Genomic DNA, 19,040 nt, shown 5'->3' with positions numbered 1-19,040 from the left:
TAACATTTTTGTTGAAAGTAAGATATGATGTTTTGGTGATAAGTGCTGAAGCAAACAGGCCTGTAGTGTGCTAAGCGTTGGGCTGTGTTTAATATTTGTGGTAGCTGTCAGTTCCAGAAGTCTTTCATTCTCCCAATGGCCTTGTTTTTGTCCTCCTTCTTGACTTTGAACTTCCCTAAGTACTTTTTTTCTAAGAGAGGCTGTATCTTACTTCTTTTCAGCTATAATCCACTACTTTTACACTGGAGCCCTACTATATCGTTGTAAACTGTGGGAAAGGAGAAGTGTTCTGTAATTTTCTGATCACATCTCAGTCTTTTAATGGTCTTATGTCTTGGGGCTGTGACCTTCAAAGTGTTTCTGCCCCCTATGAAATAGCTTAGCTCTCCTTCCTCCAAATTCGTTCCCTGGCTGCAGTATCCTCTGTCCTTCACTTTCAAGCCTAGACTTGTGAGGTTTAGGCCTTCATGAGACAGGAAGAATAGAAGGGGCTGAAGTAGTATAATTCAACTTCTTCCAATTGAGATAACCCTCAATGCCTAAACTGCCAAAGTTTTCTCCTCCAGAAGACTATGTTTGCTGTGGAGAAGGCTCGGATATATTTCACAATGATTACTCTCACCCTCTTCCTTCTGGAGATATAGAGAAGAATATATAGGATCTTCCTTATGAGCCTCTGGTGTTTTTTCTGGAGGTAAAGCCCCACAAGCATATGGAGACAACTCTGAGACTGCTGTCCTCAGGCGTTACTTTTTTTTTTATTTTAACACGAATATACATTCATCCTACAGCTGTTCATCAAAATTACCATTTTTTTATACTTTAAGTTTTAGGGTACATGTGCACATCGTGCGGGTTAGTTACATATGTACACATGTGCCATGTTGGTGTGCTGCACCCATTAACTCGTCATTTAACATTAGGTATATCTCCTAATGCTATCCCTCCCCTGTACACCCACCCCACAACAGGCCCCAGTGTGTGATGTTCCCCTTCCTGTGTCCATGTGTTCTCATTGTTCAATTCCCACCTATGAGTGAGAACATGCGGTGTTTGGTTTTTTGTCCTTGCAATAGTTTGCTGAGAATGATGGTTTCCAGCTTCATCCATGCCCCTACAAAGGACATGAACTCATCATTTTTTATGGCTACATAGTATTCCATGGTGTATATGTGCCACATTTTCTTAATCCAGTCTATCATTGTTGGACATTTGGCTTGGTTCCAAGTCTTTGCTATTGTGAATAGTGCCGCAATAAACATACCATTTAAATATTCCTACCAGTTATGATTTCAGCAGCATCTGCTCCAGATAGGCAGATCTTAGCTAAGGCTCACTGGATGATCCTGTAGCTCCAAATTTCAGACTGGACAGTTCTGCCACCTGAGTTCTCTTATGGGTTTAGGAAAAGCTGGTAACTTTTAGTTTGTCCCATTTCTTGTTGTAAGGAAAAGGGTACTCACTTTTTTTTTACATGAAGCTGAAACCAGAAGTGATATAGTAATTATTTTAGGTGATTTTTTTTCTTTCTTCCTATAGTATGAAATGTGGTCATATTTGTAAATACCATATATATTTTCTCAATTTTATAGCACAATATCTTCTTTAAATTCTAAGGTATTATACATTGTTAAGGTCAACTATTCCTATATAACAGATCAGCTACACATTATGTTCTTACTTTTGTGTTGTTTATTTCTAAGCTTTATGGAGAATGTGTAAATAGTTTAGTTTATATTACACATTGAAACATAAAGCCAGTAATATGGGGATATAAGGAAATTTATCGGCTATGAAAAAGATTAATGCATTCTGCAATAATATTCACAGAATGATTTTTTTCTAAAATTATTCAGAATATTCAACTAAATTCTGTATAGTACTAGAATTGTAAATTATAAGCAGTTAGAAAAATTAGAAATCAAATGAAATTATTAAGAATGTGGAGAAATGGATTTACCTATAAAGATGAAACTCTTGCCTAGCTAAGTATCAACAAAGGGGTTAAGTCTTGATAAGCACATTTATGTTGTAAAATACAATGTATAGTTTAGGAGAATAAAGATTATCCTGACCGTATGAATAAAAATCAAAATTAAAATGAATTAAAATCAAAATAAATCAAGTGAATGTATAAGAATATGGAATCTATTTACAGGTAGATGTTGAAATGTAACACACTTAGTAAGATAATATAAAAATGACAAAAACTACGGAAAAAACCTTGGACAGATTGATCATCCCTTATCTAAAATGCTTGGGACCAGAAGAGTTTCAGATTGTGTATATTTTTGGAAATGTTTATATATAAATAATGAGATATCTTAACACTGAGATGCAAAGCTAAACATGAAATTTATTTAGGTTTCATACATACCTTACACATATAGCCTAAAGGTAATTTTATACAATATTTTAAATAATTTTGTACATGAAACAAAATTTTGACTGTATTTTGACTGTGACCTGTCACGAGAGGCCAGCTGTGGAATTTTTCACTTGTGGTGTTCTGTCAGTGTTCAAAAAGTTTTGAATTTGGGATGGAGCATTTGGGATTTTAGATTTCAGATTAAGGATGCTCAATATGTAGTGATCTCTGAAGTGTTAGATTGATAGTGTTTTTTTTCCAAATTTCTGTTTCTTCTTTCTTGTAGGTATTTTTAATGAAAAAACATTCATAAGTGTTTGCTCTTTTCAAAACTACATGTAGCTTATTTTGTAAAAAGTTGTGACACTAGCCCTCAAGAAATATCCAACTGGGAAAACAAAATAAAGCTCTTTAAATTATATATATACACATATATATATATACATATATATATACACATATATATATATACATATATATATACACATATATATATATATATATAAGTGTAAACAAAAATATCGTTTTCAGGATGTACATATATACCCATGGGGAAGCAGCAAGTGCATGCGTGGGGATGTGACTGTGTTACAAATTGAATTTAAATGTAAGGACTCCCACTAATTTGCAGTCTAACTTTATATTCAGAAACGTGTTGTAATCTAATTTATAGTTTTCTTCAAAATAAATTATAATGCTTTAAAGTTGGAATATAAAATGTTTTGGTATTACTATTTAAAAATGTCTACATCGTTCTATTTCCTTGTGTTTTTGGGGGTGTTTTTTCACCCTTTCCACTCATGCTTTTAAAAGTGATGATTAAGCAAGTGCATATTTGTGATTCTATTTTGCACTGAAAGTTGTGGCTGAGCATCATAAAGTACATAACATAAACCAACCGTTACTCAAGTGACTTACCTTACCTAAGGATTTTAAACAAATATTTGTAAAACAACAGTGGGTATCACAAGCAGCTTAAAATGAAAGCCTGATTTTCAGACTCTATCAAGTGCAAGACAACAGGAGTTTTCAGAATGGGGTTTACATACTTCTGGGGATTTCAAAAACTTTCTGGGACGTATAAATATAGAAAATATTAAGCTATTAATATCAGAGCTTCAATTTCTCTTATACTTTTCTTAAAATTAATCTGCTTGAAAGGTCACCCTTTAACTCATTTTCTAAAGAAAGACACTTCTTATTAATTCTTAGTCTAGGCATTGCTATCTATGTAATAGGTACTAGCACACCAGTCAACTAAACAAAACATCATAACACACTGACATTAGTATTGAAAAACTATGTGATAATTTTTTTTAATTTTATTTTATTATTATTATACTTTAACTTTTAGGGTACATGTGCACAATATTCAGGTTAGTTACATATGTATACATGTGCCATGCTGGTGTGCTGCACCCATTAACTCATCATTTAGCATTAGGTATATCTCCTAATGCTATCCCTCCCCCCTCCCCCCTCCCCCCACCACACAACAGTCCCCAGGGTGTGATGTTCCCCTTCCTGTGTCCATGTGTTCTCATTGTTCAATTCCCACCTATGAGTGAGAACATGCGGTGCTTGGTTTTTTGTCCTTGCGATAGTTTACTGAGAATGATGATTTCCAATTTCATCCATGTCCCTACAAAGGACATGAACTCATCCTTTTTTATGGCTGCATAGTATTCCATGGTGTATATGTGCCACATTTCCTTAATCCAGTCTATCGTTGTTGGACATTTGGGTTGGTTCTAAGTCTTTGCTATTGTGAATAGTGCCACAATAAACATAAGTGTGCGTGTGTCTTTATAGCAGCATGATTTATAGTCCTTTGGGTATATACCCAGTAATGGGATGGCTGGGTCAAATGGTATTTCTAGTTCTAGATCCCTGAGGAATCGCCACACCGACTTCCACAATGGTTGAATTAGTTTACAGTCCCACCAACAGTGTAAAAGTGTTCCTATTTCTCCACATCCTCTCCAGCACCTGTTGTTTCCTGACTTTTTAATGATTGCCATTCTAACTGGTGTGAGATAGTATCTCACCGTGGTTTTGATTTGCATTTCTCTGATGGCCAGTGATGGTGAGCATTTTTTCATGTGTTTTTTGGCTGCATAAATGTCTTCTTTTGAGAAGTGTCTGTTCATGTCCTTCACCCACTTTTTGATGGAGTTGTTTGTTTTTTTCTTATAAATTTTTTTGAGTTCATTGTAGATTCTGGATATTAGCCCTTTGACAGATGAGTAGGTTGCGAAAATTTTCTAGTGAAAATGGTGAAATTAAAACTCCTACCAATGCAGGTGAGCACAGTTCTCTGCATCAGGTAGTAAGAGACTCCTTCATTTATGTATCTCCAGTCGTCAGCTCTGTATTTCACAAATTAGAAATTGATAAACAGAAATGGCTACTGTAGTGGAAGTTGAGCTTACCGTTATCTGTAGTTGCATTAGTAACTGGATTTCCCAGGCAAGGTTGGAAGGAAATCCCAACTGGAATGAATAAGCCAGTAAAAATGTCCAAGTAATAATGACAGCTTAGTTTTAAGAGGCAAAAGGACTAAAAACAAGACTGTGACAATATAAACAAAGATTAAAGATGATGTCTGCTTATGTAAATGTCTCTAGCAAAAGAAACTACAGGCCTGGGTTCTAATGTGGTTAAATAACTGCTGCTCATCTTGACTTCATCTTTTATATCATGCTTTTTCTGAATTAAACTCCTGACAAAAAAAAAAAAAAGAAAATCTATGTGATAATTACTAGGAAACAAACTTGTGTGTAAGAAGAGTGGTTTCCAACTCTTTGCTTAGGACAAATTTGAGATAAAACCTGATTAAATTATTAACTAACAAAATGTAGAGTCTATTTCTGATGACAGAGTACAGTATGATTTTAACTTTTAAATCAGTAGGGGTTTCAATAATGTGGGGCATTGCTACATCCCAACGTTTTCTTTTCTCTTTTACTTATTTACATGAAGAAATTTTCTCAGGTGTTATGGTAATAAAGTTAAAAAGTAAGAATAGAAATAATGCCAAATTTCTTATCCAACTAATGAGTAATATTTACTCAGAGATGCATAAACAAAATTTTCAAAGGCTTATTCTTTTAACTAAGATGCATTTTGAAAAACGTTTGTTCATATTTAATAATTGGTTAGACAGGCTATAAGTGCATATTTGACTAAATTATTTTAATTTTACAATTTAATCCAGAACTAATAATTATTACAATTTAATCCAGAAAATAGATTATTTTAGCACTTGACTCATAATTACATGAAATTAAAAGAATGTATGTGTATATATACATATATTAATGTGTAAACATATATATACACATATACATATAAACATACATATTTTTATATGCCATTTTATTGCATTTTGCAGATATTGTATTTTTTGCAAGTTGGAGGTTTATGGCAACCCTGCATTGAACAGTTCTGCCAGTGCCGTATTGCCAAAAATATGCACTTCACTTAACTGGCAGGGGAGATACCGTGATCAGGAAGGTGGTTTTCCCAGGGTGAGGTTTATCCATTGCACGATAAATGTGCTCACTTTGTGTCTTTGTGTTGCCTTTTGGTCATTCTTACAATACTTCAAAACTTTTTTATTAATTTTATATCTGTTATGGTGATCTGTGATTAGTAATCCTTGATGGTACCATTGATGAAAGTCAAAATTACAACAAATTTAGATTAAAGATATGAATCAGCTTTATTTGCAATTCTAGAATCAGGCAACATTTCATTCTATAAAATAGAATAAGTCTTCCAATGAGTTGAGCAGAAGAAGTTGGCTTTACAGACAGAAAAGGGATTAAAAAAGCCGAAGCAAAGAACAGAGTGTATTAGTTACTTTGGACAGAACAATAGGAACATAAATTATTAGTTAACATCGAGTTACCTCAGGATATCTTTTTTATGTGCATAAGAATTAAAGCAGAGGAAACTTCATTGTCATGCCAGTTGAAGACTTCATATTGGTCAGTTTGGGAAAATTAGCTGTTATATCTCTCTCCTAATATGTGGGAAGGTCGGATAACAACTTAGTTTAGGTTTGATGACATGGAACTTTAGCATGAGTGACTCCATTTTAATTTTTAGTTTGGTCTGTTGGACCTAGTACAGGAATTTAGTCCAAAACAATGGCCTTCTATAATTTTTATTTAAGACTATTCTAATAGTTCTGAGGCACCATGAAGCATTCCTGTACAAAACTGCTAGCTTAATTGACAAATGTGTGTGTTCTGACTGCGCCACTTAGTGAGAAAGCCTAGTGAGAAAGGCGTCAGCTGAAAGCTAGGCTTCTTGCACCGCTTAGCCAAGCTGAGAATGCAAAGGATAAGTTATTGAAGGAAATTAAAAGGGCTACACCAGTGAACATGTGAATGATAAGAAAATAAAACAAACTTATTGCTAATATGGAGAATGTGGTCTGGATAGAAGATCAAACCTGTCAAAACATTCCCTTAAGCCAAAGCCTAATCCAGAGCAAAGCCCTACCTCTCTTCAATGAATTCTATAAGGGCTAAAAGAGGTGATGAAGCAGCAGAAGAAAAGTTTGAGGATAGCAGAGGTTGGTTCATGAAGTTTAAGGAAAGAAGCTGTCTCCATAACATAAAAGTGCAAAGTGAAGCAAGAATTTTTGTAGAAAGTGCATGGCAGTAAATTCATCTAGCTAAGATCATGGACGAAGGTGGCTACACTAAATGAAAGATTTTCAGTGTAGACAAAACAGCCTTATGTTGGAAGAAATGTCATCTGGGACTTTCATAGCTAGAAAGGAGAAGTCAATACCTGGCTTCAAAGAGGCTGACTCTCTTATTAGGGGCTAATGCAACTGATAGCTTTAAGTTAAAGCCAATGCTCATTTATCATTCCATAAAACCTAGGGCCCTTAGAATTATGCTTAATTTACTCTGTCTGTGCTCTATAAATGGAGCAACAAAGCCAAGAAAATAGCATGTATGTTTACAGCATAGTTCATTGAATATTTAAAGCTCATTTTTGAGACTTACTGCCCAGAAAAAAAGATTCCTTTCAAAAGACTGACAAGTCACCTGGTCACCCAAGAGCTCTGGTGAAGATGTACAAAAAGATTATTGTTTTCATGACTGCTAACACAACAGCCATCCTGCAGCCCATGAATAAAGTAATACTTTGAATTTCAAGTCTTATTATTTAAGAAATACATTTCATAAGGCTACAGCTGCCATAGATAGTGATTTCTCTAATGGATCCAGGTGTCAATTGAAAACCTGCTGGAAATAATTCACCATTCTACATGCCATCAAGAGCACTCATAATTCATGGGAGGAGGTCAAAATATCAACATTAACTGGAGTTTGGAGTTTGTAAGAAGTTGATTCCAACTCTCATGAATAAGTTTGATTGTTTCAAGGCTTCAGTGGAGGAAGTAACTGCAGGTAGTGGGAAAATAGCAAGAGAACTAGAATTAGAAGTCAAGCCAAAGATGTGATTGACTTGCTGAATTTTATGATAAAACTTGAATGGATGAGGATTGCTTCTTACGTGTGAGCAAAGAAAGTAGTTTTTTGTAATGGAAGCTACTCCTAGTGAAGATGCTGTGAATATTGTTGAAATGACAACAGAAGATTTAGAATCTTACATAAACTTAGTAAAATATTATACAGTTTGTAAATTATTTAAATAGTAGTTACGCAAAATATTTGAAGCCATTTCTACCAACGGTAGGAGAAGGACATACATCTGGTGTGAAGAGGGTAGAGATGAAATAAGACATATTCGTTGAAGAAATGATGCAATTAATCTGTTTCTGAAGCAGAGTGATGGGTATAAACGTGGTAATAGAAAAGAGCACAGAGACTATAAGGAGATTCAAGAAAAAGTTGGAAAGTATGTTGGAAATATTTGGCATTGAGACTGGAAAATTGGTCATGCAGAATCATGGAATTACTTTAAAATTAAATTAAAAGCTTTTGGTTTGATTTCTGAATAGGTTAATAAGTACAGAAAGTTTTACAGTTTGAAAGTCAGAAGTTATAGATCCTATATTTATAGGATTATATATTAAAATTTATGTTGTGTTTATATTATATTAATAACTATAATATTAGAAATTGTGTGACAACAAAAGTATAATACTGTGATTATAATTTAGGTTGGTGCAAATGTAATTGCGGGTTTTCCATCAACCTAATGTTAGTTTTTAGCATAATTGAAAAATTTGTGCATTTTTATCCTACTTGTAAGAAAGTGCTAAGACAGCTTTATGTTACATGGGTTAAAAGGGAATATTGCATTTTTATTTTCAAGTGATAATTTCATTATAACCTTCAAGATCATCTTCTGTCAGTTTTGGAAAAGACACATACATTACCGAAATAAATGATGGACAGGCTGAAATATTTGAGAGATATAAATCATAAAAAAGGAAAGTTGAAGAGAAGTAAAGGTATTAAAAGTGCCATTGATTACTATAAGTAATAGCAGATTTCAAACATTGTAATAAGTGAATCCTCAGGACTACCAGCATTTACATATGGAAGTTAGGATCACATGCTGTTTGAATCTACATTTGTACCTGATATCTATCACATTCCTTATGGCATTTTCCATCACACGTGTTTATATGACATAGAGTTGCTAACACTAAACGTGTTTAACCTAGTGTTTAATACAAGTTAAATTTGCTAACTATGTTATGATATACATATTATCATAATTCATTGCAACAGCTTTTTACCCAAGATGTAGGTCACTGAGATGGAAAATGTGTTGCGCTAAGTTGTCCGAGATGTAGAATAAGGATTATGGCAGTCCAAGAGACATTACTTTAATGATCTTACATGTTTGATACAGTTAACAATTTTCGACAAGTTTTTGGACAAAAACTCCTTATTGGTATAATTGCTATTTTTTTAAATCCAGCATACACGATCACTATGTTATAAGAAAATCACATGGTTTTAGGTGAAGACCCATTCATTGATTTACTCCAATTTACTTGATATGCCAGTGTTTAATTTTGTTGAGCCAAAATATTTCTTTAAAAATAGCTCCAGAGGAGTGATTTCAGCCATATGGCTGGAACCAAGAAGTTCCAGGCCCTCTTATACCAGAGGCATTAAAATAATAATAATAAAAACAAAACAGAAACGTTAAAATAAAATAAAAAACTAGAGACTGGCTAAAATAACTTTATAGGAACTCAGAAAAACAGCCAAAGGTCTACAACAAACAAATAAATATCCAACTAAGAAAAAGCCACATTCAAAAAAATAGGAAAATTCATGGTGTTTTTACTAGCCCTAACCCCAACCCATCCCCAGCTCAGAGCAGTGGGGTTTCGGGAACTAGCTCCCAGTTCCCTCCCTATATTCTGTTTCCTGAATCAGTATTTTCTATGTAGACCTTTTGTTAATATTAAGTTGTCATTTCAAATGACTTATAACATGGGTTTTTTTTTAACAAGTTGACAATTCTAAGACTGAAAACTTGAAATACTTTGTTGTTATTCTGAGAGCCTTAAGTTAGATAGATTGATATGAATATGAAGAAAGATAAGGAAATAATGATGTGTATAAAGAAATGTTACTATTTAAAATATACTGCAGATATATAAAAATAACAATAGAGACAGAAATTTGAAGAAAATTTTGGGCTTTAAAATCCTCATAATTATTCACTTAAGCAGTTAGGTGACATTAATTCACTTAAAGTCTAAACAATTAAACAGTTTTGGCCTTGGTTCGTTTCACTATAACTTCGATTTGATTCAGTATAAGCTACTTAAAAGCAGGGAAATTATAAGTAGATGACATATTGAGGCTATTATCAGAATTGATATGTTACATGTTATATTTATTTCTACATAATTATAGTGTTGACTTAAACGTCTTGAACTTTTTTTCCTCTTTTAGTCCTTTTATTCCCCTTAGAGTTTCATAGCTCCTGTGTGCACTTCAAGGCACAGCTGCTGCTAGAAACTCAGGTGAAGGCTATGTGAGAGGGCACGTATTTAAAAATCTATCTTTAGTTCAGAAATAAAGCCCTCTTCACAGGGTCTTACCCTCACCATTCTTACTTTTCATTCAATTATAGTGGCTTTGTAAATAGAACCCTAAAGGAAAGTCCTGGCCTCAATGTTGATTTATGTTATACACTGCAGAAGTTACAAACTTAGTTTTATATTTCTTATGTTTAAGATACAGTATCCAGCAATTTACGTCTCCTATAAAAGGCCAAATAACTTAGTTAATTGCAGTGCTTAAGGCAATCAATAATATTAACCAAGCATCAAGATGATTTTGTACATGTGGGTATGACTATAGAAATACTTTAAGCTTTGCAGCAACTGGGTAAGTGGAGATAATACTGAACTTGAATTTCATGGAATTATTTCAATAGAGTTATCTTGGTGCATTTGCTTAGGAACACCTTCATGTATTTTCTTTGTGAACAACGTTTAGCCCCTCTCCCAGTTTCTAAACTATCCGTTAGGCCTACTCAGTGTTTCTACAAGGAATTAGTATTTGTTTCTTTACTAAATCGGAAAGGATTTTCTTTCCCCATGTATATTAATAAATTTAAACATAAATTTTATTTTTTGTATTTACAGATGTTATTGCATTTTCATCTAAAAATGTTTAGTAAGAATTAAACATTGCTAATGAGAATCGCAATGGTAGAATATCAACTGCTAATCTTTTTTACTTTTTAAAAAATATAATCAAGATTATGAAATTATCTGTAGCATTTGATTCTTCCAAATTTTGTTTTCCTTTCCTTCACAGTTTAAGGCCCATCTGTGGATTCAGGCTTTTGCCTAATAAATATGGGAAAGAGGCAGGTGTGAATCCGTAGACTGGAAACTCAGAGAGGAAAAGATTGATGTGCTGATTTGGTTTTGTATACCTGCCCAAAAGCTGAGGGATGAGTGTAATCTAATGATCATAAATAATAGACACCGTCGTCAGCTGGGGTGGGAAAGGAAATGGTGGTAATCTCCATCAGAGGGAGGAGAACCAGCTGTTGCTGCTACTTCTGATCAGAATTAGAGGAAAGCTCTTTCCAAACCATCCAAGAAGAGCTGGGAAGGACAATGAGTATCTGTCTCTTTCACAAAAAAGTTAGCTTCCTAAGTCAAACAAAATCAAAACTTTTTTTCCAATGCACGTAGAAACTGGAGAGTACTGTTATAGTACAAGGGAAAATAGATTTATGAGAAATTCATCAATACTTCTCCCAGTCTCTTTTAAAAGGTTTAATGATTCTCTTATGTTTTCTTCTTTTCCAGAGGCATAGGATGCTGAAACCAAGCTTCCTTCTTTCCAGGACAGTTAATGGCAAATTATTCATAGTCACATATAGATTATTTAATAAATACTAATAAAAATTTGTTTTAATTACTTGGGTTATTGTTAGTTCAGTCATCACAACTATGAAATAATAAAAATACTTCTAGAATTATAAAAATAATATGTTTAATTGGTGTTTTATATAACTCTTAAAGATTTTTCATATATAGTTCACTGTTTTGTCATTACAACCAATATTGGAAGTTGGTAAGGTATGTATTATAACCAGTTAACAGCAAATCAAGAGGAAATAGAAGTTAAAATAGATAAAATAAAATAGAAGGGAAATAGATACTCAAATATATGCTTGGATCAAAAGAGAACTATAACTTTGAAAGTCATACAATATGAGTAATTACTGAAAGAGTCTATGTTAAATGTTATCTGGGTCTCCTGAGATCTTTAGTATTTCCATATCCTCTTTCACATTGTTTAATGTAATACAGTTTTTAAATCTATGCTTAGCATTCATTCCTTTTATTACAGCCTGTCATTTTCCCTTACAAATGACAATGAGTCTCATATTTATCCTTTCAGATAATTAAAGATGCCTCAGAAAAGATCTCTATACTATGATTTAGACTAACATTTACATATTCATAAACACTTCAGTGAGAAGTGGTAACTTGTTTTTGCTTTCAAATGAAATTCAATTTCCATGTTGACTCTGCACAAACACTTGAAATGCATTAACAATGTATTAACTTGGATTGAAACATATATTTCTACATATTTCAGAGTAGCTACTAAAATTGGTCACTTTTGAACAACCAATGAAGAAAACTATGTTGCAATCAAAAAGTATTTGTCATAATGCTTCGTTAAAGCAAATGCATCATGTTAAGACAATATTAGCCATCAGACTGGGTTTCAACTCATTACTAACATGTCAAAAGTATGAAGGGAAATAGATACTCAAATATATACTTGGATCAAAAGAGAACTATAACTTTGAAAGTCATGCAACTTTAAAAGGGAACCTTGTTCTATCTTTGTGGTTTGCGTTTGCTGTTTAAAAATAAATAATCTTCTTGAAAGTCAGATGTCATTCACAAAATAATAAAATAACCAAGAATTATGTATTAGAGAGAACAGGAATATCCTTTGCTTCTAAATATTTTACGCATATAGCAATATATATTAGTGGTTCAAAGAATTTTTCAGTTGTTACAAGTGGTTATTATATATTTAGTTATTTAGCACAAAGCACAGTGTTTTGTTTTGTTTTGTTTTGTTTTGAGATGGAGTCTCGCTCTGTCGCCCAGGCTGTAGTGCAGTGGCGCGATCTTGGCCCACTGCAACCTCCGCCTCCTGGGTTCATGCCATTCTCCTGCCTCAGCCTCCCGATTAGCTGGGACTACAGGTGCCCGCCACCACGCCCAGCTAATTTTTTGTATTTTTTTAGTAGAGACGGGGTTTCAACGTGTTAGCCAGGATGGTCTCGATTCCTGACCTCGTGATCCACCCGCCTCAGCCTCCCAACGTGCTGGGATTACAGGCGTGAGCCACCGCGCCTGGCCACAAAGCACATTTTTACTATGTAGTGCTTTGATTTCATGAATCATACAGAAACTTCTGTGACACAGTATGTTGCTAAATTAATGTTTTGATTTAGTGAGTTTTGAAAACATTATTTTTAAAATTAAAGTAGCATATTAACAAGTCTTACTTTGGATTTAACTAAGATTTGGTTTCAAGTCAAGTCAAGCAAGTTCACGTGTTGTAAATGTATTTAAAATTATTAAGTTGTTTTGGAATAGGTAATATACACAAAGATAAATTAAAATTCAATCTACACAGGTGTTAATCTGTTGAACAGTAAACCTTCCACTGGCCTTGTTTCCCTTGGGACTCAAATTTTCATAGTTGTTACCATAGGGGTAAAAATTATTGAGACTTTGCTTGAGTATTAGCCCAGCTATTATCATTTATCTTTTCCTTTTGTCTTTCCATCCCAGGTGCTATACATCACAGACTTTGTTCTACAAGTTGCTTTTTCATGTGGTATTATACTTGGGAGTAGTTTTCACCTCCCTGGCAGCAGTGACACACGATTTTTGTCTATTTGTTTTAGTTTGCATTATTTTCTTTGTTTCATAGTATTCTACTGCGTGAACATATACATTATTAAATCAGTTTTCTGTTGATGAACATTAAATTTGTTCATAATATTCTGTTACTACAAATATATTTCAATGAATGACATTATAAATACCTATTTTTACATGTGTGCCCATGGGATCAATGCTATGTGTAAAATAATGCCTAAAAATTGAGTTGCTAAATCAATTCAAGTGATATTAATTGTAATTATAATTATGACAAGTTGTAACCTTGAGAGTTATTAAGTAATTACTTGGAAAAAATGTATAGGAACGTTCCTTTCCTCATATACTGAGCATCACAATATTATCTCATTTAACTCTGAGATTATATCACATTTTGACATTATCTCATTTCTAGTGAAAAAATAAATCTCATGACTGTATTTTGGAAATAATGTATTAGCAATTAAAATTAGGATTTTTTAAAGTTATTTGTATTTATTTTTTCCTATGATCTGTCAGACAAGTCCCCAGTCATTTTTTAAATATTTTATGTTTATTTAATTTTTAGTTTTCATGGATAGGTAATAGTTGTATATTTTTATGGAGTGCATGTAATATTTTGATACAACCATACAATGTGTAATAATCAAATTAGGGTAATTGCTATATCTATCACTTAAAACATTTATCACTTTTTGAGTTGAGAAAACATTGAAAATCCACTCCTCTAATTATTTTGAAATACACAATAAATTATTGTTAACTATAGTCACCCTGCATTGCTACCAAAGGCTGGAACTTATTCCATCTGCTTGTATTTTTGTACCCATTTACCAATTTATCTTTAGGACTTCTGCCTCACTACCCTTACAAGCCTCTGGTCACCCTCATTCCACTCTCTACTTCCATGAGATCAACTTTTTTGGCACTCACATATGAGTGACAATATGCAGTACTTGTCTTTCTATGCCTGCATCACCTTTATTAAAAAGTAGAAATAACTCAAATAAAAATTTTAACAATGCACCTTAAAGAACTAGAAATGCAAGAAGAAATCAAACCCAAAATTGGTAAAAGGAAAGAAATAATAAAGATCAGAGAAGAACAAATGAAATAGAGACTAAAAATTACAAAGGATCAACAAAATGCAGTGTTGGTTTGTTAAAAAGATAAATACAATTGATAAATAGCTAGCCAGACTAACCAAGAAAAAATAGAGGACAAAAAATGAGAAATAAAAAGGCAATATTACAACTTCCATCAAAGTAAAAAAAAGTCATTAGAGATTATTATGAACAACTATATGCTAACAAATTTTAAAACCTAGAAGAAATGGATAAGTTCCTGGACACAGACAACCTACCAAGATTGAATCAGGAAGAAATAGAAAGCCTAAATAGACTAATAATGAGTCACAAGACTATCAGTAGTAAACATCTTCATCAAACAAAAGCCCAGGACCACATGGCTTTATGATAGAATTCTATCAAACTTGTAAAGAAGAACTTATACCAATTCTTGTCTATTAATAAAAAAATGGAGGAGGAGGGACTTCTTCCTAATTCATTCTATGAGGTCACTATTACCCTGAAAGCAAGTTACATAGGGATTCTATAATGACTAAAAGAAAACTTCAGGCCAATATCCTGATGAACATAGATGCAAAAATTCTCAAGAAAATACTAGCATACTGAATCCAACAATAATTTGAAAAGATAATACACCATGATCAAGTGGTATTTATCCCTGGGATACAAGAATGGCTCAACATATGCACATCAACAAACATGATACATCAAATCAATAGGGTAAAGGACAAAAACCATAGGATTACCTCAATAGATGTATAAAAGGCATTTCATAATATTCAAATTTCCTTCATGATAGAAATTCTCAACAAATTAGGCATAAAAGGAACATACCTCAACATAATTAAGGCCATATATTACAAATCCACAGCTAACATTATACTGAAAGGGAAAAAGCTGAAAGCCTTTCTGCTAAGAACTAGAACAAGACAAACATCCACCATCACCACTGTCATTTAATGTAATACTGAAAATCCTAGCTTGAGCAATACAGACAAGAAAAAGAAATACCATGCAGTCAAACTGGAAAAGAGGAAGTCAAATTGTCCTTCTTTGAAGACAACATAAACTCATAAAAAAACCTAAAGGCTTCACCAAAACACTCTTAGAACTGATAAATTGTGTAAAGTTGCAGAATACAAAATCAACATATAAATATCAGTAGCATTTCTATACACCAATAATGGGTCAGCTGAAAAAGAAATCAAGAAGACAATCCCATTTACGATAGCTACAAAAGATTAAATACTTAGGAATAAATATAACCAAGGAAGTGAAGACCTGTATAAGAAAAACCACAAAACACTAATGAAAGAAATTGAAGAAAACACAAACAAGTGGAAAAATATCCCATGCTCATGTTCACAAGAATTGATATTGTTAAAATGCCCATCCTCCCCAAAGTAATCTTTGAATTTAATGCAATCCCTATTTGAATGCCAATAACATTCATCACAAAAATAGAAAAAAGCAATCCTAAAATTTGTATGGAACCACAAAAGACTCAAATGACCATCGAAATACCAAGCAAAACAAAGCTGGTGGTATCGCAATACCCAATTTCAAAATGTATTATAAAGCTAGAGTAACTAAAACGCATGGCATTGTTATAAAATTAGACACACAGAAAAATGGAGAAGAATAGAAAAGCTTAAAATAAATCTGTATTTACACCTGACTAATTTTTGACCAGTTGCTATGAACATACACTGGGGGAAGGAAACTCTCTTCAATAAATGGTATTGTGAAAACAAGATGTCAATATAGAGAAGGATACAAATATATCTCTACCTCTCACCATATACAAAAGTTAATTCAAAGGGGATTAAATACTTAAACATAAGACCTGAAATTATAAAACAACTAGAAGAAAACATGAGAAAAACTTTAGGACATTGGTCTAGGCAAATATTTTATGGTTAAGATAATCAAAAGAGCAGGCAACAAAAACATAAAAAGGTGAATGGGACTATATTAAAAGCTTCTGCATAGCAACAAAACTATCAACGAAATGAAGAGACAACACAAAGAATGGGAAATATATTTTTAAACTATTCATCCAACAAGGGACTAATATCTAGAATATACAAGGAACTCAAACATCAGCAAAGATATAATCTCATTTAAAAGGTTTGGAAAAGTTTCTGAATAGATATTTCTCAAAAGAAGACATGCAATTGGACAACAGGTATATAAAAAATGCTAAACTCGCTAATCATCAGGGAAACGCAAATCAAAACCACAATGAAATATCTCATCCCAGCGAGAATGGCTGCTATGAATAAAGACAAAAAAGTAATAAATTCTGTCAAGGATATAAAGAGAAGTTTTACACTGTTGGTGGGAATGTAAAGATAGCCATTATGGAAAACAGCATGTGACATGGTTTGGCTCTCTGTCCCCATTGAAATCTACCTTGAATTGTAACCACCATTATCCCCCTGGGTCAAGGGCAGTACCAGGTGGAGGTAATTGGATCATGGGGGCAGTTTTCCCCATGGCTTTCTCATGATAATGAGTGAGTCTCACAAGATCTGATGGTTTTATAAGAGTCTGGCATTTCACCTGCTTGCACTCACTCCATCCTGCCAGCCTATGAAGAAGGTGCCTGCTTCTCCGTTGCCTTCTGCCATGATTGTAAGTTTCCTGAGGTCTCCAAGCAATGCAGAACTGTGAGTCAATTAAGCCTCTTTCCTTTTCAAATCACGGAGTCTCAGGTATTTCTTCATAGCAGCATGAAAATGGACTTATACAATATGATTTCTCAAAAAAATAAAAATAGAACTACCATGCAATCCAGTAATCCAACTATTAGGTATTTATCCAAAGGAAAGCAGATCTGTATATCAAAGAGATACTTCCCTGCCTCCTGTTTACTGTAGCACTATTCACAATAGCAAAGATATAGAATCAACCTGGATTCTATCATTAATGGATAAATGGATTTTTAAAATGTGGTATGTGTGTGTGTGTGTGTATAGTGTGTATATATATATATATATATATACACACACACACAGAAATATGTGTATATATGTATGTATGTATACATGTATACATATGTGCATATATATATGTACTTATGTGTGTGTATATATATAGTGTGTGTGTGTATATATATATATACTATTCTGTCATAAAAAGAAATAAAATCCTGTCTTTGGAAGCAACATGGATGGAACTGGAGGTCATTATGTTAAGTGAAATAAGCCAGGTGCAGAGGGACAAATATTTCATGTTCTCACTATATGCAGGAACTAAAAAAGTGGTTCTCATGGAGATAGAGAGTAGAATGATGGTTACCACAGCCTGGGAAAGGTGGTGCTGAAGGGGATGAGGAGAGGTTGGTTAATGGGTACAAACATACAGTCTGATAGAAGGAAGATGTCCTAGTGTTCGATAGTATAGTAGGGTTACTATAACTAACAATAATGTATTGTATATTTCAAAATAGCTAGAAGATAACCATTTAAATCTTCCCAACACAAAGAATTGATAAATCTTTGAAGTGATATATATCCCAAATACTCGGATTTGATCATTAAACATTTTGTGCATATATCAAAATATCACATGCCCCATATTTATGTACAATTTTTGTGTATTAATAAAAAAGAGAACATTATGAGGGTCTTGCACACAAAATCAGGTAACTTTAGGGGCCTAAAAAAGTGAAGAGACATTGATACTATAAAGGAAGTTATCAGATTTCTACATTTAAAATCCAAGAGAAGCTGCTGTCAAATTATGAGAAGGAACAAAGTAAGACTTTTTGTATGTGGCAAAATAAACATTAAACAAGTATAATTTAAATTCATTAGCAATAACCAAGTTAATTACACAAAAGAAAACTAATTCAATTATCAGACCAATAAAACTACCTAGCAATAATCTTAACACAAAATACTTAATATTTATATTTTGAAAATTGTAAAATTTACAGAATAACAGAATTTCTGATTAAATGGTGTTCTCAGATAATGAATCTTAATCACTATTTCAACAGATTTATTAGAAATAAAACAAGTTCTGTCATATTCATCTGGGAAAAATAGACACAGAATTAGCACAGGTATTTTGAAAAAAAAAAGATGAACTGTGCCAAATAGCCAAAATTATTATAAAGTTATGTTTATTAAACAGCATGTCTATTTCCTAGGGCTGGGTGTGGGGGCTCATGCCTGTA

The 19,040-nt window shown here is 33.1% G+C and overlaps 1 pseudogene, besides 1 other annotated feature; it reads left to right on the top strand.

The window, feature by feature from the left end:
* On the top strand, positions 5,848-5,988 carry RNU1-45P (RNA, U1 small nuclear 45, pseudogene; annotated as a pseudogene).
* Positions 16,778-17,570: an enhancer, noted in NCBI's record as "OCT4-NANOG hESC enhancer chr4:179026293-179027085 (GRCh37/hg19 assembly coordinates)". NCBI's record gives its function as "activates a minimal SCP1, AML or CMV promoter by ChIP-STARR-seq in primed H9 embryonic stem cells {active_cell/tissue: H9 hESC(primed)}" and the evidence as "EXISTENCE:reporter gene assay evidence [ECO:0000049][PMID:30033119]".

The sequence above is a fragment of the Homo sapiens genome, chromosome 4 (assembly GCF_000001405.40).
Source record: "Homo sapiens chromosome 4, GRCh38.p14 Primary Assembly".
NCBI classification, from domain to species: domain Eukaryota; kingdom Metazoa; phylum Chordata; class Mammalia; order Primates; family Hominidae; genus Homo; species Homo sapiens.
The sequence above is the reverse complement of the archived record's forward strand: the minus strand, read 5'-3'. Positions and strand labels throughout refer to the sequence as shown.